Source organism: Homo sapiens, chromosome 11 (assembly GCF_000001405.40).
Source record: "Homo sapiens chromosome 11, GRCh38.p14 Primary Assembly".
Taxonomy (NCBI): Eukaryota; Metazoa; Chordata; class Mammalia; order Primates; family Hominidae; genus Homo; species Homo sapiens.
Window position 1 is genome coordinate 22,715,616 of NC_000011.10, and position 24,461 is coordinate 22,740,076.

General features: G+C 33.5%; 1 protein-coding gene across 19 annotated transcripts in view; it reads left to right on the top strand.

The window, feature by feature from the left end:
* The window catches only part of GAS2 (growth arrest specific 2), a 187,054-nt gene that overhangs the window by 89,614 nt on the left and 72,979 nt on the right, over window positions 1–24,461 (top strand). For all 19 annotated transcript variants that reach the window (NR_147085.2, XM_047426745.1, XM_011519972.4 and 16 more), the window contains 2 exons: window positions 10,677–10,818; window positions 22,090–22,153. Coding sequence is in view for 18 of the 19 variants with exons in the window: in XM_047426745.1 (XP_047282701.1) it covers window positions 10,677–10,818; window positions 22,090–22,153 (206 nt within the window). In the remaining variant the exon portion in view is untranslated. The remainder of the gene's footprint in view (window positions 1–10,676; window positions 10,819–22,089; window positions 22,154–24,461) is intronic.

The following is a 24,461-nucleotide window of genomic DNA, read 5'->3' on the forward strand; positions in this document are numbered from 1 at the left end:
TGGAAATATACAACCCTTGTAGATTAAACCAGGAAGAAATAGAAACTCTGAAGAGACCAATAACAAGTAGCAAGATTGAAATAGTAATTTTTAAAAATGCCAACAAAAAAAGTTCAGGACCAGGAAGATTTGTAGCTGAATTTTATCAGACATTCAAAGAAGAATTGGTACCAATCCTGCTGAAACTATTCCAAAAGATAAAGAGCTAATCTTCCCTAAATCATTCTATTAATCAAGTATTACCCTAATACCAAAACCAGGAAAGAACATAACAAAAAAAAAGAAAACTACAAACCAATATCCCTGATGACCATAGATGAAAAAATCCTTAACAAAGTACTAGCTAACTGAATTTGACAGCATATCCAAAACATAATCCGCCATGATCAAGTGGGTTTCATACTAGGGATGCAGGGGTGGTTTAAGAAATCAATAAATGTGACACACCACATAAACAGAAGTAAAAACAAAAAACATACGATCATCTCAGTAGATGCAGAAAAAGCATTTGGCAATAATCCAGCATCCCTTTATGATTAAACCAGTCAGCAAAATTGACATAGAAGGGACATACCTTAAGTTAATAAAAGCCATCTATGACAAACATACTGATCAGGGAAAAATTTAAAACATTTCCTCTGAGAACTGGAACAAGACAAGGATGCCCACTTTTACCTCTTATATTCAACATAGTACTGGAAGTCCTAGCCAAAGCAATCAGACAAGAGAAAGAAAGAAAGGGTATTCAGGCCGGGGGCTCATGACCATAATCCCACCACTTTGGAAGGCTGAGACAGGCAGATCATTTGAGGCCAGGAGTTTGAGACCTGCCTGGCCAACATGGTGAAACATTGTCTCAACTAAAAATTCAAAATTTAGTCAGGCACCATGACACACACCTATAATCGCACCTACAAGGGAGGCTGATGCACGAGACTAGCTTGAACCTGGGAGGAGGAGGTTGCAGTGAGCCAAGCTCACGCCACTGCACTCCAGCCTGGGTAACACACACAGTAAGTCTCTGTCTCAAAAAAAAAAAAAAGAAAAAAAGAAATAAAGGACATTCAAATTAGTAAAGAGGAAGTCAAACTGTTGCTGTTTACTGATGATATGATGATATACCTAGAAAACCCTAAAGACTCCTTAAAAAACTCCTAGATCTGATTAATGAATTCAGTAAAGTTTTAGCATACAAAATCAAGGTACACAAATCAGTAGCACTGCCATATACCAACAACGACCAAGCTGAGAATCAAATCAAGAACTCAACCCCTTTTACAGTAGCTGCAAAAAATAATAAAATACTTAGCAATATACCTATCCAAAGAAGTGAAAGACTTCTACAAGGAAAACTGCAAAACACTACGGAAAGAAATCATAGACAATGCAAGCAAATGGAAACACATCCCATGCTCATGGATGGGTAGAATTAACATTGTGAAGATGACCATACTTCCAAAAGCAATCTACAAATTCAATGTAATTCCCATCAAAATACAATCATCATTCTTCACATAACTAGGAAAAAAAAATCCTAAAATTCATATGGGACCAAAAAAGAGCCTACATAGCCAAAGCAAGACTAAGCAAAAAGAACAAATCCGATGGCATCACATTACCCGATTTCAAATATTCTGTAAGGATATAGTTACCAAAACAGTATGGTATGATATAAAAATAGGCACATAGACCAATGGAACAAAATATATAACCCATAAATAAAGCCAAATACTTACAGCCAGCTGATCTTCAACAAAGCATACAAAAACATAAATTGGAGAATGGACACCCTATTTCATAAATAGTGCTGGGAAGACTGGCAAACCACATGTAGAAGAATGAAACTGGATCTCTGTCTCTCACCTTACATAAAAATCAACTCTAAGACGACCTGAAACTGTAAAAATTCTGGAAGAAAACATCAGGAAAAACTCTTCTAGACATTATCCTAGACAAAGAGTTGATGACCAAGAACCCAAGAGCAAATGCAACAAAACAAAGATAAATAGATGGGACTTAACTAAAAAGCTCCTTCACAGCAAAATAAGCAATCACCAGAGTAAACAGACAACCCACAGTATGAGAGAAATATTCACAAACTATGCATTTGACAAAGGACTAATATCCAGAATCTACAAGGAACTCAAACAAATCAGCAAGAAAAAAAAAGAATATCCCATCAAACAGTGGGCAAAGGACATGAATAGACAATTCTCAAAAGAAAATATACAAATGGCCAACAAACATCTGAAAAATGCTCAACATCACTAATTATCAGGGAAATGCAAATCAAAACCACAATGTGATACCACCTTCTGCAAGAATGGCCTTAATTTAAAAATCAAAAAATAATAGATGTTGGCATGGCTATGGTAAAAAAAGGAACACTTTTTTTTACTGCTGGTGGGAAATTAAACTAATACAACCACCATGGAAAACAGTATGGAGATTCCTTAAAGAACTAAAAGTGCAAATACTATTTGATCCAGCAATCCCACTACTGAGTATCTACCCAGAAGAAAATAAGTCATTATATGAAAGACACTTACACACGCATGTTTATAGCAGCACAATTTGCAATTGCGAAAATATGGAACCAGCCTAAATATCCATCAACTAATAAGTAGATAAAGAAAATGTGTCATATATATATATATGGTGTGTGTGTGTATGTGTATGTTTGTGTGTATATATGTATCATGGAATACTACTCAGTCATAAAATGGAATGAAATAATGGCATTCACAGCAACCTGAATAGAGTTCGAGACCATTATTCTAAGTGAAGTAACTCAGGAATGGACAACCAAACATTGTGTGTTCTCAGTTATAAGTGGGAGCTAAGCTATGAAGATGAAAAGGCATAAGAATAATATAATGGACTATGGGGACTTTGGGGGAAGGGTGGGAGGGGGTTGAGGGATAAAAGACAGCACAATGGGTACATTGTACACTGCTCAAGTGATGGGTGCACCGAAATCTCAGAAATTATACCTAAAGAACTTAGCCATGTAATGGAACACCACCTGTTTCCCCAAAACTATTGAAATAATAATAATAATAATAAATATTAAAATCTTTCTATTACTCCTCATTATGAACACTGAGATTTCTATTTAAATTTTTTAGATAGGCTCACCAATTGACTTAATTTTAAAGTGTAGAACTAGATTTTTGGAGGTTTTAAGAAATTAATCTCAGTCTGTTCATATGCAAACGATTAGTTGGGAGAAAAGAAGCTGTTCGTAGTTGATGATGATTCCCATGTGGATGTATATATAAATTAGGCACACAGTATATAAAAATGGAAGGAATGCATTTGTTGTCAAACTTCCTATACTTTCCCCTTTGCGAAGCATTTGATACTTCTCAAACTATCAATGACATAGTAATCTTTTTGTAGACATTTTTTTAAAGCTTTGTTAAGGTATAATTAACATGTAACAAAAATTACATATATTTATGGTGTATTTGTGATGTTTTCATATATGCATACGTTATGAAATGATTAAATCAAGGTAATTAAAATATTCATCACTCCACTTATTTTTTTCTGACGAGAACGTTTAAAATCTTCTCTCTTAGCAATTATTATGTGATACATTGTTATTAATAATAGTCACCAGGTTGTACAATAGATCTCCAGCACTTACTCATGCTGGCTAACTGAAACTGTACCCTTGACTAACATCTCCCAAGCCCTCAACCCCTTTCTCCTACCCCTGGCAATCACCGTTCTAGTCCCTGACTTTATGAGTTCAACATTTTTAGATTTCACCTATTAGAGAAGCTTTCAGTTCACAGCAAAATTGAGTGGAAAGTACACCAGAGTGGTATATTTGTTAACAGTCATTGAACCTACATTAACACATTGTCACCCAAAGTCCATAGTTTTTAGGGTTCACTCTTAGTGTTAAACAGTCTGGGTTTTTACAGATGACGTGTATCCACCAATATAATTACATACAGAATAGTTTCACTGACCTAACAATTCTGTGTGCTCTACCTTTTCATCCATCCCTCCCTGCTAAACCCTGATCTTTTTACTGTCTTCATGGTTTGCCTTTTCCAGATTGTCATGTAGTTGGAATCATACAGCCTGTAGTATTTTTTTAGATTGGCTTCTTTCACTTAGTAATATGCATTTAAACTTCCACCTTGTGTTTTCATGACTTGATAGCTCTTTATTTTTAGCACCGAATAATCCATTGTCTGACTTTACAATCGTTTCTTTATTATTCATCTACTAAAGGACATCTTGGTTGTTTCCAACGAACAGAACTGCTATAAGCATCCATGGGCAGGTTTTTAGTAGATATGTTTTCAACTTATTTACATAGTAACTTTTATTGTCCATCTTGTAAGCCTGAGGTTTGAGGACTAGGTTTGACCTTCATTTCAAACATTAGTTTATATTACTCCAGAGATGATTTCAGATAATTCAAAGTGCTGTACTTATTTGCCAACTTTGTTAGTTAAGTGATTAATTTCATGATTTTAGAGGAAGAAAGGTGTACTAAAACTCTGCTCTGAGAAACTTGTTTTATATTTCCTTTTTGTGTATGTGAATATTCCTATGGCATTACAGCATGAATATTGCACTAAAATTTTGATCTAAGATCTGTTCTATATAAAGTGGAATTTATCTTGGAGAGGGAGAAAGCAGAAAGGGTCAATTTTGGATTCAAGCTTAGTGTGTTCAACTGTCCTAAATCATAGCTCACTGCTTGAGGCACAGGGTCTTACTGCAGAGTCCCCAGGAGAGGGTTAAGATACCACAAAGTTTTTTTTCCCTTTTTAAACATTTCTATAATTTTTATCTTAAAGACTATATTTTCATCATTTTTCAAGCCACTTGGTTGTTATAGTTAGATACCTTGATACTATGAATGTTCAAGGAAATAATTTTATTGAAAGAGATTATTTTTTCTATTAAATATACAGTGAAACTAAAAGTAGCAAGGGGATACAGGCGGAAACATTAATTCCATCATGGAAAGAGTGAGTTTATTGCCTGCCTATTTGAACCGTACACTCTATATACCCTTTGGAAAAGAAAAAATATTAGTTCTTGGCAAGCCTCATGTCTTCATTTATGTATCTCTTCTGTTTTATATCTCAAATGTCTACTTGATGTAATCAAGGGGAGTAGTATGACTCAAACTTTTGTGAAGAATGAATTATTTAAACTACCAGTATTAAATTTTCAGTTCGCACAATGCAAGGGAACTAAAGATACCATTCTCTCAGTCTCTTTTTTTCTCTTCACTTGAGTAGGTGAAAGAGAATATTTGATTATTTGTTTTAATGCTGCCTGGACAAACATTTGGGAAATAAATCAAATGTGAAATATATTACCTTCAAGGCATTGGTGGGCTATCATGGAACAGTTGAAAGTGTAGGAGCACAAGAGACCAAATGATTTGGTTTGAACTGTGCATAAGCTCAGTTTCTTCTCTGGAAAATGAGTCTTCTTTTACCTACCCAATTCATTTGGTGCTGTTTTTTTGAGAATTAAATGGGACAATCCATATGAAAGTGAACGTTGTGTACCTAGAGCACTGAAGGCACTTACAACATGAGTACCCTCCTCCCCAACCTCACCATAACTTTCAGAAAACAGTAAGTCAGTACCTCCTGCGTGTAAAGCACCATATTTGGCACTGTGGCAGTATAATGCTAAATAAGATCCGGTTCTCCAGATGCAGATTATTACAACACTATAAATAGAATTAGTTATGAATGCGCTTCATGACACCATAACTAGGACATACTGCAGCATATATGTACAATTTTTGAAAATGACTTTCATGTTTGTATGTCTTAGTAACTACACCCAGGGTAACTACTGGATTTGATGGGAGTTGAGAGACATGGAGATGATTTAGGAGGGAAGCTAGTCATGTAGTCAAACACCACACTTTATAAAACTCCAAATTATAAATTCACTTCTCCCACTATGAATGTACTATCTAATATGATAGCCACTATCCACATGTGGCTATTTAAATTTAAGTTGATAAATGAAATAAATGCTTAAAAGTTCAACTATTCAATAGCCACATGTGGCTAATGGCTAGCTACCATATTGGTTAGCACAGATATAGGACATTTTTATCAATGTAGAAAGTTATATTAGAAAACTATTCAGAAGCTAAGGTTCAAATTTAGGGTAAAGATAGGAAGAAGTAAATTATTTGGCAGTCTATTTCTGAATTCTTGTACCCATAACGGAAATAATGCAATGTTGGCAAGAAAATATGAGAGAAGGAAATCATAGATATTCAGTATTTTTTACTTGCATTTATGACCTTTTTTGAATGCTTACTAATACACTTTAATTAATTTGCACCCCCATACACATAGTCAATGGGGTGTACATCTTGTTTTATGAACATCGTATAGCAGAGGACACTGAAATACAGATTTTAAGTACATTTCCTAATCATAGCATGAAGGGAAATATAGCTGAATTTGAACTCAAGTAATTGGACTCCAGAGCCCTACCTAGAAACTAATCTGAAAGGCAGTGGGTTGAATTAGTAATAACAGCCTTTAGAGGAAAATTTAATTTTTTTCTGTTTATTGCCACCAATCTTGGTTGTTTCCTGATGGGAATTGGAAGGGCACTTTTGGAATGCATAACTGTTCTCTTATAGGGTCAATCAACCAATGTATAAGTATTTTAGAAGCTATAAGTATGTATGTTGGATTAATCTTGCTGAGAGATAAAATCAGTAGTCTTGATATTATAAATTTTACTATTTATCCTGTTGACTGCTTGCACACAATCCCAATAGCTTATTGGTAGTAACTTCTCATTTTGCTAACACAAAATATTGAATCCTACACTATGGACACTGTTGTACAATATAGCATGACTCTTGCTAGTGAGTGAGTGAGCCTAAATTTCTATCCAATTTAGGTTCAGCTTGACTGTTTTCTATTCATTATTCATATTCAGTAAGTTTCAGAAAAGGTTTGAAGGTATTAAATTTTTCAGTTATGCTTTCCTGAATTTATTGAAGGCATTTTATGCATAGTTATGCCATTAACTTAGTGAATTTTGAAGGCCCTGGGAACATGTCCCTTGGGGATGTAAAAATTCTAATACAGAGTATTTGGTCCTGTTCTCAAGCCGATTATGATCTAGTTTGAGGAGGCAGTCTAACAATTCATTCATTCATTCATCTATTAGTTTTTGAGGACATAATATTGTCTAAAAAAGCTTTCATGAGTAAACAAAGATAATATACAATTTAAATGCTGTAATTCTTTGGAGAATTAAGCAGTTAGTTAATGGAAAACTAATCCATATTAGTTTCCATTAACATATCATTTCCATAAACATATCAGGTGAGCTATTGAAGGTTCTCTTTTAAATTCTTGATAAGCAGAGATCCTTATTTCTAGTTACGTGTGATAGACTTGATAGGACTAATGAGTGTGACTTAAAAAAATCCTCAAATAAAATATTTTATCTGGATGAAAATTGGAAGCTTCTATTCACACTGTTTACTATTTCCCAGTCTTCAGCTGGCATGGGAACACTCAATTTAACGGAAGCAAATAGCCCATAAATTACCTAAATGCCAAGTAGTTAGATCAGTGTTACTGCTAAATTCTTCTACACTGGGGATTCTCAAGTTTTGGAGTATCAATAGCCAGCTTTCATTTTATTTGTCTTAAAATGACTTACCTGTCTTCCAATATGATTGCACTGAATTTTAAGTAAATTCTGAGATGCTGGCATATGATAGGTACGTGACTTTGTAAAGGGAAAATAAATGCTATTTTCATTTATACGCTCAGTGGTTGTCCTTGTAATTTCTTCAAGAGTGGGCTGAATGATATTTGAGGGCTTGTCACTTGTGCATATTCTTTCAAAATGTATCCCTTAGTGGATTAAGTGTCAAATCAATCTCTTGCTTCTTCAGTGCAAAATGGATATTTTGTTCCTTTTTGCCACATAGATCATGTACCTCATGTCATTTAGCAAGGCTGTAGCTATGTGAATTATTTTATAGTTCCTAGATTATAGTTTTTACATGCAAACTCGTATATTGATTTGAAGTGGTAGTTTTTTCTGCCCGCCAGGGATATAGGTGGTAGATCTTAAAGTGGCTCATTGTTTGGATTTAATTTTGTTCTTTTCCTAAACATAGCTTTTACCTTATTCATGTCATAAAAAAGTTTTACCATCATCTCTTGGAGATTTTATTCAGCATATTATTTTTATAATATGTTTTGGCTGACATAACTTGCCTACTACTTTGATTTTTTTTTAAATTTGGTAGTATTGATAAAATATAAAAGTCACTAAAAATCCTATTACTTGTTTTGGAATTATATAAAATAAGTAAATGTTCCTTGATACATCAATCAATTCCCTTCCTCAAGGGCAATTACTATCAATTTATGCATGTCCTTCTTGAATTATTTCTAAATTTACATACTATAATCATGTAAATATTTATATATGTATCACAACATATTTACCTGCAATTTAACTTTATGGCCATCTGTGTTGCATGTGTATACACACACTAATGTGTACACATGTACATACATCATAAAATGATCCATCATAGGAAAAATATCTGTTTGCAAATTTGTTTCTGCTTAAGAGTATATTCTGAACATATTTCTGGTTCAATACATGTACATGTGTTGTATTTTTTATGATTGTATAGAGTTTCATTGTATTTATGTATTATATGTCATTCTACCAGCTCTCTTGATGTATTTTTGTTTTTTGCTATTCAATCAGTGTTGCAACAAATATACTTGTACATATATTTTAATCATGAATGCTATTTTATGTGTAGAATATATTCTTAGAAGTGAATTGCTAGATTTAAGGAATTTATATTTTAATTTTAATACATACTAATTAATGTTTATAATACTTTACAAGGGAAACATTATACTACACTATTTCTGATTGTTTTTGTAAGTCATCTAGGAAAGCATTCTTTTGAAAACCATTACTTGATATCTGGACAAAATCATTTAAGGAAATATTTCTGTATAGAGTAACCCTATATATGGTTTATATAGCTATAGTGCCTGAAGTATATATCTGTGCATTTATGCAGAAACTTTGATTATATCTATCCTAAATCAAATTCGAGTTGCAACAAAGAGATGGATCTTTGAGATTAGACAGACACCCATTTTAAGTGATGTGGTAACTGAATGTTTTAAGTTATTATGTATAACCACAAAATCCCTGGAACTCTAGTAAGAACTCTAGTAAGAGTTGCATGTTGGCAGGACTTCACCAATCCACCTAAGCCACTATTTTTTTTTTATAACCATCCTTGTAAATGAGTTCAACAATCAACAATATTTTGGTTGTATTTAAGGGTTCACTGTGAATATAAGAAAGATTTTATAAATTTAAATCACAAAGTGCTTCTCCCTTGATTTTTTTGCTTGTTGAGGCAAAGTCCTATGTAGCCCAGTTCACCCGAAGTCATGCTCATTCTTTCACATCACAAAGAATTACATTCTTTAGCTTCATGGAATGTCATGGAAATAATTTATTTCTATTAAAGAAAAAAGATAACACTTGGTATGGTTCCAAGGGAGATTTCCTGCTTAAAATTTTACGAGATGGTTAACAGAAAAGTCTATCCAGGTTCACCCCCACCCTTATCTTAAGCACATTCTTATCCCAGAATAGAAATGATGCAGAATGTAAACCATGCATTTCAAGGTCAGATAGCAGAGTTCAGACCAGAATTATGTTTGTATTATATGCTATCGCTATATCCTGTGGTTTAAAAGAAAATAGTCTGGAAAAAAGTCTGTAGAATGTTATATTTTTGATAGAATATCTCACTCTGTCACCTGAGTTGAAGTGCGGTGGCATGATCAAGGTTCACTGCAGCCTCAACTTCCTGGGCTCAGGCAATCCTCTTGCCTCAGCTCCCCAAGTAGCTGGGACCATAGATGTACACAATACCTGGCTAATTTTTACTTTTATTTGTAGAGATAGGATACCATTATGTTGCCCAGGTTAGTCACGAACTCCTGGACTCCAATCCTCCTGCCTCGGCCTCCCAGAGTGCTGGGATTACAGGCATGAGCCACCACACACAGCAAATGTTATCATGACATTATTTTTTAACATTTCCCTTTCTTGGTATTGATGACTGAGACTTGTGATGTTAAATAATTCTGCTGCTCTCTTTTGACTTTATAATTCTTGTGTAATTTTTACAGTATGTGTTTATACCTCTAAGAATGCAGGTGTATATATGTTATATGTATATCATATTCATATATTTGTATTTCTCCCATTCCTCTTTCACCAATGAGAAATACATTTATAAGTACTTTGTGAAAAATACTGATAGAATGCTTAGATGAAAGGGAAGGCCATAAAAATTATAGAAGAGAAAGAGAAGCAGCAGCCTGAGCCAAGAAAAGTACTTAACTATCTTAACCCCTAGGTACTAAAAAGAAAAGGATATGTGCTTGCAGGAACAGATTTTCAGTCCCTTACTGCCAGGTTAATTGCATAGCATTATATTTCCTTTCTAGGGTTCTTTGCAAACCTACTTATTGGCATGAGGTAATTCCGAAGCATTTTGTTGAAAACATGTTTTTAAAACATCATTGTGCTAACTTTGACAGATTTCTCCTAGAACGAATTTCTTTATTTTTCAGAATCTACCGTTGAAGAAGATCCCATGCAAAACCAGTGCACCCTCGGGCTCCTTTTTTGCCAGAGACAATACAGCAAATTTCTTATCCTGGTGCCGAGATTTAGGGGTGGATGAAACGTGTCTATTTGAATCGGAAGGTTTGGGTATGTATTAACTTCAGAATTTTAGTTGATAAGATACGCAAATTATCTTTTGTCTTTGTCAGTATAGCCATCAAAAAGTTTTTTGTATGATGTCATTTTGCAGATTATTAGCTTAAAAAGTCTGAGTTTGTTGAAATCTTGCAGGTTTGCTGCTAACTTGATACTTTGAAAATAGAAAAATGAATATGCCCTCTTACTATTGGTTACCTCATGGATACAAGAATAGAAACAGAAGTAGCAGAATTCTTTCCAAGCTAAATATAAGGGCCATTAGGGCAAAATTGGTGCAAAATTGTGGATATTTGGAAAACAGAGGACCAAATTTTACCCCCAGGCTTTGATCTGGATTAAAGGGTAGCTGTGCATGTTCTAGCCATAGAGAGCACTCTTGTCTTTTCACCTCTACAACAGTATGGAAACACTATTGACCATAAGCTCTACCTTTATTGAACGTACAGATTACTCATTCATTTATTTATTTTTTAGTGAGTTAAAAATCAGGCAAGATAACAAGAGATTAATATCATCAAAGATGTTGAATTAAAAGACAGATACCTTAGTGCCTACACCTACTGAGATAACTGCGTAGATTTCTGTAGTTGTTTCTGATTGAATTTAGGCAAAGTCACTTCCAAATCATAGAATGAGCTTATTTCTTTGGAAGAAAACATACATTGGAGCATTCAGTGTTTCAATACCACTCCATACACTAGGATAACATGTTCAAACTTTCCATGTAGGCTCCACCACAGTACAACTCAAATATGTAAAATATTAGAACTAAAGGCTCATTTTTGCAAAATGCAACCAAATTGAGAAAGGAGACATCTAGAGAAAAAAACTTCGCTTTCTTTTTGCCTGAAGCCTTAAAAATCAATTTAATAGGTCATATAATAACAAATATTAATATCAAAGTAAGGTGAGCATCCTTCAGAGAGAACAAGTATACAAATTACCTTCCAAACAGCCAAAATGCCTATTGCCCCTAGGCCCCATTCCCATGCGTAACCTAGGAAATTTATGGAAACAGCTGAAATCTTACTAATTTTATGTGCTTAAGGAAATCTGTATTTGTTCTCAGAGGAGTTGGCGTGATATGGCAAAGAAATACCATCAAATTTTTGAAAATTCTCTTAGCAAAGATGGGAACAGCATAAATTTAGCCTGGGGGAATATGCTAGACCTGAATAAAAAAAAGGAAACAGAATGATCTCACAGTAGTCTGCTTTACACAATAGTGTGCTCATGAAATGCTCAGTAAATAAATCAGCTTTTGATTATTATTACCATTTCCTCATATCAAAGTAAAAAAATTTGGTGGAAGATGTGTGCGTACATAGATAATACCTGTTTTTCAGTCCTGTGGTTAATTTACAGATCAATTTTAACTTTCAGGTTTGTAGGAAACCATGCGAGTGGAGGATTATAGGAAGGGGGTGTAAAAGAATTATTTGCACAAACAATTAAATAAAATTGCTTACAAGATCTGGTAAATGTTAAGATCGTGTAAAAATATATAGCCATAAAATCAAGTCTTAGTAACAAGGAGTACACTCTGCATGTGTGGACGATTAACATCACGATTTAAAATTCTACAGTGCCTCTGAATTGCCAAAGAACAATCACATGGGGAAACTATCGTTAATTTGCTAGTTTGTTCATTGTACAATTTTTCATTAAAGAAGCATTTTCTCAGTGATTACTATAGGATAAATTGGTTAATAAAAGCTATGAATGTAAATATTGTCTTGTCTCATTTTCTCATTGTCCATGACTTCTTTTGTTGTTTGAACTAATGAAATTTTCCTGTGGACACCAAGAAGAGTCCATCTAATATTAAATCCTCTCTGCTAGAAATAGCACTATAGGTGAAGGTTCTAATGTGTATTTACTTTGATGGCTTTTAAAAGCCCCATCCAAATAATACTACATTTTACCCTAAAATTACAAAGTTTAAAGCAACTTATATAATGACCCTGGTATATAAATGCATACTCTATAACAAATAAAATTATGTCAGGAAGAACTTTTAGATGGCCTACTTCTTCAGCCTGTTTGAAAAAATATATTCTGACATTATAAAAAGCCCATAAGTTATATATATTATATATATAATTGTAAAAATATTTTTGTACAAATTTTTAAGTCTATAAAAATTTAAAAATCTTTTGTAAACTTCTCAGTACCAAGTTAAATTAATTAGTTAGGTTTTCCAGTTGCTGCTTAATGAAAAGATAAATTTGCAATTTCTCCTGCTCAGAATAGAACCCAAAGTGATATGTAATAGGCTCTAGGGATGTAATAGAAGGGGGTCAATATTATGGCATTGACTTTAGGATTAGTCAGAGAAAGGAAACAGCTGTGCTCATAAATGTTCATGATAATCAGGAGGAAGGACAATAAGAAGTTCCATTTCCACAAGTGGAACCGTTTCTCCTTTTTTTTTTTTTTAATTATTCATTGTGGGTGAGGAAGAGATTGAGCCGCTGCTGATGGCTTTGGACTCTACTTGCAGAATTGACTTTCTTGCAACAATAACACTGTGTCCTCTGCTTGATGTCTTTTCACACTTCACTTTTGAAAGGAAATTTGGGGCAAGGCTTTTTTTTTTTAACCTCAAGATTTCATTTCAGTGGCACAGAAGATGAAGCACATCCTTTGTGTCCTAGTGTTTTGAACAGCAAATAAAATGAAAAGATGCTCTGATGAACGGGAAAAATGTGTTTGAATGATAAAGTAGATCACTGTACTGAGTGTGTATGAAGAGGCTTCTGTGTTTAGCTGTTCAAAGGTCTTTGCCTGCATAAAGCATCCTTATCCTTGTGGCAACTGATATGCTACCCTCTGTTGCAGTGCTTTTTTGTACAATTATTTGTCAGAGGATCTTGATTCACAACTCACTGTTCTCTTTTCACAACAGCTAATGGCAAGAAACCTCAGTGGGTGAGGGAAGGTGTGCAAGCGATGAACTGGGGAGAAGGGAGAGCAACTAATTCCATATGTTTATGTCATGCTTCTTGTCTTTTTTATGCTTGGCAGATAACTTCCTATGCCATATACAGGGTTTAACCTATTATTTATACTCTATGACATTCTTTAGAGATAATTTTTCCTCTGTAAAATGTCAGTTCTTAGATCATGTGTTCGCTACATCCTGAAATCTTTCAGAAATAAAACCATAGAAAAGTGGAGATGAAGAACCTATTTGCAAAAGACTTATAAAAATCCAATTAAGATGTTAAAATGTTGGACCCCTTAGTAATAAGGTAGATTTTATTCACATCTACCTTATTACTAGATGTGAATAAAATCTACCTTATTACTAAAGGTAGATTTTAGCTATGAAAAAATAGCTAAATTAAGAAAATTATATAGTTAGTATTGGTAAGTATATATTGTATCAGAATCTTCCATACATTGCTGAAGAAAATTGGAAATTGGCATGCTTTCTTTGGAAGGCAATTTTATATCAAAGACCTCAGAAGTATTTATACACTTTGATTAAGTTGTTCTGCTTCCAAAAATGTATTAAAAGGCAATTAGTAGAGATAGGAACCAGAATGTCTACTGAAACATTAAAAAAATAGCTGGAACCTATGATATTTGGTAGCAGCTTAAACAAATTGTAGTCATCCATAGATGCCATCCAAAGACAATATTCTTGAAACTATTTAAGGATATGGGAAAATATGATATATGATTAACATGAGGTCACCCGTTTGTATCTATATTTAACAATAAAATTTCACATTCAGAATTTGAAGGAAAAATAGATAGTAATTAGGTTGTAAATTATATCATTTTCTTCAATTATCTATTAACAAACTTAAGATAGTGAAGAATTATGGCATGTAATCTGAAACATGAACAATTGATTTATATTATGATGCAATTGGACCAATTAGCCTAGATATTTATTGACATAAAATTTTATACATCAGTATATTAAAAGGATTTTTCACATTGTTGAAGTTAAACTGATACTTTAAGTGATTACAGAATTCTATGTTGTATCATAACAAAGGTTTTTGTGTGGTCTGCAGAGCATGTTGTAACCATAAAGGTCTACATATAATACTCACTCTGACCCCTGCTGTTCAAACCATGTTGACGTATAAGTGACAAGAGAAACATTTCTTTTCATTACTCTGATATATTAAGATCAATAACATTTTCATTAGATTCCTTTAAAATATTTAGGATTGTGCTTTAAGTTAAAAAGATGAACTTAAGTATTTTCTTGAATTCAAAAGTATGTAGTTGATCAGTCTATAAACAAAATAGACCCCAATAATTATTTTATAAGAAATTAACTTTTAGTTGTAGAGTTAAAAATATATATAGCTATAGAAGGCTCTAGGTGTGAAAGTATTTATATTTTCAGTTTCACCGAAATGTAAAAGTTATTGGACTGTATTAATCAATAATCTTCCTAACAGTAAATTTAGTAATTTTTCAAATGTTCATTTAAATAAATAATTTAACCACGTTTTCTAAAATGATGTTGAGTGTTTTTATGGGGCTAAGTTTTACAATTTAAATTAAGATCAGAAATCTATACTTTGTTTTCAAGCTTAAAAAGAGTTTTCAATTATGAATCATGAAATTGATGCTTTTATGTCATTTTTTACTAAGATATTTTAAGTAACTAACCATTTTCTTAAATTACTGCTAGTCTTGCTGTACAGTTTATTATTTGTAATTTGCATTGGCCTATCAATTTAGAAATTGTCAAGTTAACTTTTTTTCCTAGAAATTTGTTTATTTTGTTTTATTTATACACATTCTGGTGAGCTGGGAGATGGCGAAAAAAGGGATGGGGAAGTATTTTAAAAATACACACTTTTTTTGCTTGCTATAATTGTGTCAATATCATTATGTTATTGGATAATTATAGGATTTGGAGGCCAGTGACTATGCTTCATCTATTTCTCTGAGAAAGAATCTACTCAACAAGAAAAGGGTTTGCTATCTGCGGTGTAGCATGCAAATGTGTGTGATTTGTTTGAGTATAACTTTTAAAAAAATTTATTTTCTGTGTTTGTGTTTGCTGTGTGGTACTGTCTTCTTTTGATGCATCATCCTGATGAGGAATTCTACAAATTTTTTTTTGTTTTGTTGAACATTGGTGAGCATTTTGCTTCAGGGGCAAACATTGTCTACCTGAAGTAAAAAGGTTTGTGTGTGGATTTTTAAATATTAGCATTTTCCATTTCATTTCTTAAAGTCACGTGTTGCATCAGAAAAAGAATCTATGCCTGCCTTTAAGTGTTTGATAAATCATTCCTTATTCTTGTTTTTGTCTATATTGAAGACTATAAGAGTATTTTTGTGGGAAAAAAGCTATATTACTTTTATGAGTATTAATTTATGATAATAATTTCAGGATACTCATTCAGCCCTGGATTATTTATATTAATTTCTTTCCCAGGATCATTTTATTTTAGACTTTTTATTTTTTAACACATTTTTGTTTTATGAAGTACATACTTCATTAGTATTTCAATTCACTTTTACTCTGGAACTCAGAAAACCCTTTTCAAATCTGGCCCTCTCCCCTATGTCAGGGAAGATGCAGGAGGGAGCAGTTAAATCCCTTACGCAATGTTACACAACTTTTAAATGGCCCAGCTACAGTTTGAATTCAGCTCCATTCACCTTCAGAAATCATGCCCCATCTGTTATAGAAAGATGTACTTTGTCTGCGTTCATTTTAGATGTTATTAGAATTATTTCAAGCAAAAGGAAAAAATATATACCAACTTAGAAAAGACTCACCTCTGATTGCTATTCTGAGTGATAGTGGCTTAATCCATTATTTTAACCTGGGTGCTGGGTGCTAGAGGAAAAAAGAGCGCTCTTTTTTCCAGGATATTTCTCAACTCTGGGGCAAAGGCAATGAAATTCATTCAATTCTGTAGGGCTTCCATTACTGATGAGATTATGAATGGACACTCCTTGTTCAAATGATTTATATGGATGCCATATTCTATTTTAAATCATTCTTACTGGTGATTCTGAGAAATGTGGATACTCACACACATCATTATTGAGCTTGTGAGATTCTTCTTTGTTTGCTTTTTCCTTCTTCTCAGCAGCCTCAGATCAGTTTTATAGCCCCTAAATTGCTATCCCTATTTATCACCTACATTTAACCTCACAGATTTTTGTGTGGGTCTTACTCAGAGTGACATGACACAGAGAGTAGTCTGTGACTGTCTTCACTTTCTTGGGAAGCATGAAAGTTTTTATGTATCTTATAGATTCCGGCAGGAGAGAAATGCCTATAATATTTATTAAGGGCTAATCCAACATTCGCATTATTTCCCCTCCATTTATCATCATCATCATCATCATCATCATCATCATCATCATCATCACCACCACCATTGCTATCCTTCACATTTGTGGAGCATGTTACATATATCAAAGCACACTTAAATATTTTCAGCAAAACATATGTAGGAATTATAACTACTATTTATTATTATAACATTGATTAATACAGTACTTATCAAACTTTAGTGTATATACACATCACCTGGAAAATTTTTTTAAATGTAGTTTCTGATTATTAGAGCTGGATAGGTCCCCAAATTTGCATTTTTAATAAACTCCCATGCCATGCCTATACTGCTGGTCTCTGGGTCACATTTTGGTGCAAGAGAGTAACATTTATTGTTTACCGGGTACCATGTGTTCTTAACCATATGGTTACCTCATAAAGGAGTGCAAGTAGAAGACATGGCACTTGTTTTAGAGTTGAAGAAATTAGCCTTAAGTAGAATCCAATTCTTCTGACTTCTAGTTTACTATTTCTTCTACTATACCACTCTCCTTGGCATATTAGAACCAATTCTCTACTCTGGGAAAGTAGGCAGCCATTAATTTATAATATTTTTATAAGTGAACAACATTTATCCTAAAGTATATTTTTTCAAGTTCCCTTACTAAATAAAAGGCTAAAAAGCTATTTTCTTCGACATTACCATTAATGTTGTAACCTCTAGTTATATAGAAACCAAATGGACAACATAATTTTTCATGCTTTCATTTCTTTGCCCATCTGTTAAAACTTAATATATTTAACTAAACTATACATTCATGGTCTAATGCATTTTATCCTTGCAGATTCTGTGACATTGAAATTCTACCCTCTTGCTTTAGTGGAAAGCCTCATTTTCTATTCCTGGAGCTAACAGCATTCCATTTGACATTTGATGCCCATGAGATTTTTTTTAATAGAATCTAGGTTATGAGAGTGAGTCTCTTGCCACATATTTTTGAATGGAAACCTGTGTTACTTTTCCCAGAGGTGTTTTACATTATGCTTTTCTTGAAATGCTTTTGATTATTTAAAAAGAAGCCGCCAATGATAAAACCATTTGTGTAATAATCACCATTGACTAGAGAGCTCTTTATTTGTTTTGAAGAGAATTTGTTCAGAAGAAAGCTACAGCAATCCTCTCTTCTACCCCAACTCAAAGCAAAAGACCTTGTTAATGTTACAATGATCAAGTGGGGAAAATGTCTCCTACTGTAAGTTTTAATGTAACTAGATGTTCTTTTGAAAAAGATAAATGATGACATGTGCTTAAAATGAGTAGTACATATGACTGCATGCTAGGGCTTTAGTACAAACACAGTACAATGATAGTTGCCTGTCTAATTATCTTGACAAAGGTATACATTCAGTTATTTTATCTTCTAAAATAGACAATACATGATTACATAAATAATTATTAAAAGTGAACTCTACTAAATTATTTTAATCACAAAAGAAAATTAAAGGCAAGGTATTTGGTGTTTCAAAAACTGACATATGTCCTAATGCAATTGTTACTTGAACTTTGTACTTAGCATCAACTTGTAATTGCTGAAGGATATCTACTTTATATCTTTACATGTTGGCCAAATTGACTCATTTAACCTGAAGTTTGATTAAATTTAGAATTAACTATATCTGATATAATATAAAAGATAAACATTTAAAATATACTCATTATAATAGAACCAATCTAAATTATATCTCCTAACAGTAATCTTCTCTTCATTCCAGAGTTTCTCTCACTGTCTAGTAACTGACACATTATGATGCACAAAAAGTGCTTGCAGGGAAAAAAGTGAATTAATATTAATCGACTAAACCAAATAAAATAATAATGAAAAGAAAAAAATATAAAACTATCATTGGGCTGTTATTTTCTATGTGCCAAGTACTATGCTAAGCATAACAGTAAATATTATTTTGTTTAATCATCACAAAAATATTATGAGGTGGGCACTATTGTTTTCCTGCAGAAAAATGTGATTTTGTAGAATAACCTCCCAAAATAATATGACCAGCAAGTATTAGTGCTCATACTCACACCCAGATCTTTGTGGCTTGAATTACGCAACCATTATACTCTTTTCATCTATTAACTTTAGTTTAGACCTTGCTCTAGTGCCACTACCAAAGTCACCTTTTTAGTATAATATAGATACTACATACAGACATTTGAATTTACATTTTATAGCAATAAGGTAAGAGTGCTTGCTTTTGCAATTAAACATTTGCATGATTTAAATTCTTGCCTTTTCTAAAGATGCTAGGTAAAACTTTAGCCTTTATTCAGTTTGTTCATCATCACAACCCCTATCACCACCACCACATAACCACATAACTATCATCTTCCTTGTCTTACAAGGCATTGTAGTCACTAAGTCCTTTCTCTGTTCTAAGTATTGCATTAAGTTATGCAACTCTACAGATTTATCTTAGTCATTGCTTGCTGGTCACCAATCATTCTTTTTTTTTTTTTTTTTTTTGGTCCATTAGTGGCCAGGCTTGGTATATTCGTATTTGAAAAACTATTAACATATGAGGTAATATTACAGATGTGCTTTAAAAGCAATTTTATTGCTTTATAAAAAGGCAATATTTACACAAAGAAGTGAAAGTAAAACACCATTTTTCTGTTAGCATTTTCCTAAGAAATGATGCTGGGGAAGAGGTTTATCTGTCTTAAATTTTAACGGGCTGATTCTGTTAATGAAATAAAATGAAGAATCATGCAGTTTCTTCTCAGTTTGCCAAATTGCTTTTCTAATGAGTCTGTGATAGAGTTGATATTGAGTTTTGGCATGCAAAAGCTGTTTTAAATTGGCAAATGAAGAAGCAAAGAAATACACAATATTGATGCATCCTACATGTGAAATTGTCTTTCTTACAGCACTCACATTATTATTTTTCTTCAGAATGAATTTGATTTTCCAAATTAGTACTCAGAATATGTACAGTAAGTTGGTTAAAGAACCATTATTATCAGGTATTATCTTTTATAGTTGGTTATTAGCTGCACATTGACACAATTTAGTCAGTTAACTAATAGTTTTTATATTTTGACACTCTTGTCATCAAGAAATGCATGACATTGTATCAAAAGCTCTTGATGCTATAGCCACTGCTTCACACAGCTTTTACTTAGGATGAGGGCATTAGCTTTAAAAGTCCTCCTCTCCTCAGTTTTTACATACTTCTTTCTCCCACTCAAAACTCCTTTTTGTTATTTTGTACCATGGATATGTTAAAAAAAAAAAAAAGTCTGAATCAGAAAAAAATTGATGATCTATACAGGAAGATCCATTTTCACTTGTTTATTTCTGTTTCGTAATATGTGTTATTGTTCTCTGTATGAAATTGATGCCTGTGTGGCATTACAGCCCTTATGTTACTTTGTGCTGGAATTTATTTAATATACTAAACCTTATGAAGTTGATATCATTCTAGCCACAGTCAACTTGTAGTAGATTTGAAACTGGAGGTAGTAAATATCTTCATTTTAAGCCCTTTTAATTAAAAGCAATTAAAAATTCCCTAACTAGGACTTTGTGACAATTTACTGATGGTCATCTGAATCTAAAATTTGTGTTATCAGTAATAGAAATATCCTGCAATTCAGATTTTCCATAATCGGCTATGGGATTTAAAATTTAATGGTGGGATTAGAATTCTGGTAGGATTCAAATTTATTTTAAAAGCTTTAAAATGCCACTTTATAACCAAATAATAATACATTTGGATGTCTCCTTAAAACCAAATGAAATCACACACTTTTACAATCAGGTAAAAGTGTTTATTCTATTTACTACACACACCCAGCAAATTCCACTGTGCTGTCAGTGGATCAAATATTGCCACTATCATAATCTGTAGAAAGAAGAAACTAGAATATTTAAGTGAATAGAATAATACTGGAAAGTTAAATTATTACGGAATTCTGTGTTTAAGAATAAAAGCAATATTGCTCTTTTTCTTAAAATCTATCAATAAACAATCAATAAGCTAATATTTTCCTTTTTTAGAATACTATGTGTCAGTGTAAGACTGTTCTCAGTGCAAATTTTTTCCAATCTCTCTTATCTTTATTCAGTGCTGAATAAAAGAACATTGTAAAAATCCCCACATTTTGCTTAAAAAAGAGAATAGTATGCTCTTTTACATGCTCTTCTTGTAGGCTTGACAAAAGCAAGTATGATTTGTCACATTACTGAATGTCTATCAGTAAAGCAAATGCACTAATTAATCACATTATATTATAATAGAAATATCAATTCAAAGTATAGCCTTCTAATTTGCTTCTGTGATGGGCAAAACTTGCTAATGGTGCATTGGTACATATTTCCAAAATTCAGTCATTTGAAATTGTTTCTTTCTAAAATATTATTTAATCAGATTTGATTAGAAGGGCACATGAAGTGACAGGGTCTCACTTTGACATTCATCTTTGGAGGATAACAAAGGAATGTAGTATAAAATGTTTATCCTTATTTCATTTTTTTTCCTGCTAAAATCACTGTTGGAGGTAGGCCCATGATATTAAAATGGCTAGCCCTTGCTCCATAGTTGTGATTTGTGTTTTTAAATATCAATTATTGACAGGTATCATAATTACAGCTACATAGGCATCCAATATTGATGTACCAGTATTAATTAATTGAATAAAACATTTTTAGGGTGAGATTTCCTGAGGGTTTCCTGAGATTTCCGGGGTGAGAGTTCCTGAGACGAATAGCTTTCAAGAGGAAGCATAGGCAGAGTTTTGAGAACTAATTTAAGCCTTTAGTAGAGCTAGATGTATTGAGGTATGGGATGGGTTCTATGACTGTCAGAATGAAGACTAGATCCTTTCCTGGGAGCACGAGGAATGAGGGTCATTGGCAAGCCTGTGCTGTTGAGCTGCTTATTCCTTCTATTGTAAAGGTGTTCGCCTCTGTCTTGTCTTTCAGTCCTCCACAAGCAACCCAGAGAAGTGTGTCTCTGTCTGCTAGAGCTTGGCCGGATTGCAGCCAGGTAGGTCAAACCACTGCAACTATGTCAAGACATTGACGATTTCAGCATCCAAGCAACACAGAAGCTTGCTGGCTTTTCATTGCTAATGTTTAACCTGGATGTTGAGAAGCTACTCATTCACGATGATAATATGAACTTCTTGAGGGCAGCAGTTAACCAAATTAAAAGTGTGCCACCAATATTCCTAACCTCAAGATCTTGTTGTCAAAGCCACTATGTCTAAGCATTTGCTAATAAAATACATTTTCCCTCCAAAACTTTCCTGGGGAGGGGAGGACATTGTACATGCAGTTTTATATGACAGTTCTCCTTAGTGGAAAGTCTATTCCCATATTCTATCTTCCTCCTCCTTCACCTCCTTGCTTCCTTTTTACTTTTTAATAATTTTCAGCCTCCCCTTTTATTCCTTTTCTTCATTACCCTCATTCAACACTTTGCTCTTTTAGTTTCCACTTCTGACTAGGATGATAGTTTTAAAATTATCTACATTTTTATTAGGGAAAGACATAGAATGTTATCCTTATGTAGAAGCATCTTTGAAACCTGTTTTTTTTCTGTAGGAAGGAAAAACAAGAATTAATTTCAGAAATCATAGCTAAATAAGCAGAGGAAGGAACTCTGTTAGCTAAAGCAACTTGCTTTGGTTACCTGTTTTCCCATTTATTATCTTGCATACCATCAGACAGGGCTTCTGGCCAGCCCATGAAGCCCAAAGAACAAGAAATGAAGATACAAATGTTTGAAGAAGTCTTGATGCAAATTAAAAATTCAAGATTAATTAGAAAATGGTTTCTTATCCACATCTGGGTATACTTTTAGGGTTGAGATCAGATGAATAAGTAAGATAAAGTGAGAACTAACACTGAATGAACATTCTCAAAGAATTTATTAATAAAATCAAGAAAAAAAATAGGTGAACACACCAGCAATTTACAACTTGGCTAGAAAACTTGCTGCCAATTAATAGACCTTTCTTTGATCCAATAGAAAATTAACCTGTAATCAGAATATGTAACCTCAAGTTCTTTAAATCATCATATCAATATAATCTTCATGAATTGTGCATCGGGTATAAATTTCATTTTGCCACAATAATTGGGTGTGCAAAAGATTGCTTTAATGTTTTTCAATTCAAATTAAATATTTTTGAGCCTTACCTCAACATGGAGTAAAAAAACAATTTGAGACATGTGAAGGTTTTTCTATTTACCCCACACTCTTCCCAGTTAATTGTGGGAAGGCCTCTGGGGGAGAACTCTCTAGTCTTGGTCCTTTCAGATGTCTACTGCTCAGGCATAGTTCAAACTTGTGGCATCTGGCTGTTTCTTAGGACTTCGTTCTCTATCATTGCTGCCACATACTTGGGTTCTGTGAAGGAGCAGGATAAAGATATACCTCTTGCTTCTAGCACCCGGCCACACCTACTCCCCCACCAACCTTGGGGCTTCTGGCCTGGAAGACAAATGGCCTTAAGTCAAGTGAAAACCAAGGACTCGGCATCTATTGCTTAAGAAAGGGGAAGTTGGCCGGGCGCTGTGGCTCATGCCTGTAATCCCAGCACTTTGGGAGGCCGAGGCGGGTGGATCACGAGGTCAGGAGATCGAGACCATCCTGACTAACAGAATGAAACCCTGTCTATACTAAAAATACAAAAAATTAGCCGGGTGTGGTGGTGGGCGCCTGTTGTCCCAGCTATCGGGAGGCTGAGGCAGGAAAATGGCGTGAACCTGGGAGGCGGAGCTTGCAGTGAGCCTAGATTGCACCACTGCACCCCAGCCTGGGCGACAGAGCAAGATTCGCTCTCAAAAAAAAAAAAAAAAAAAAAAAAAGAAAGGGGAAGTTAAAAATACAAGGGGTAGGAAATCAAACTAAATAAAATTTCAATAAATGAACTGCTGCCAAGGAAATGTTCAAGTAAAAGAAATATGGATTGTCTAGAGTTCCTACTTAAAGAGAGAACAGACAAAAAACTTTTTTTTAGTTGACTATCACATTAGAATACTCTAAAATGCCAGATATAATCTTGTTACTTAAATATTCTAAATATTTCATCAGATAAGCCTCTTGCTTCTGAAAGTTGTGATACAGAAGTAAAGAGACGGGGTTATACTGTCTCTAGAATTAGGTGGGATTTATAAATTTTCCTCCCATTTAAGTTTATAGCATTTGCCTTATTTCTGGATTTTATTTTATATATTGTTATTATATATTATATTAAATGAGCACGGTGATTAGGGAGCCCGCTGAATAAACATTTTAATTATAGCCAAGTCATCAAAGAAGAAGACAAGCTGCCCAATTAGAAAAT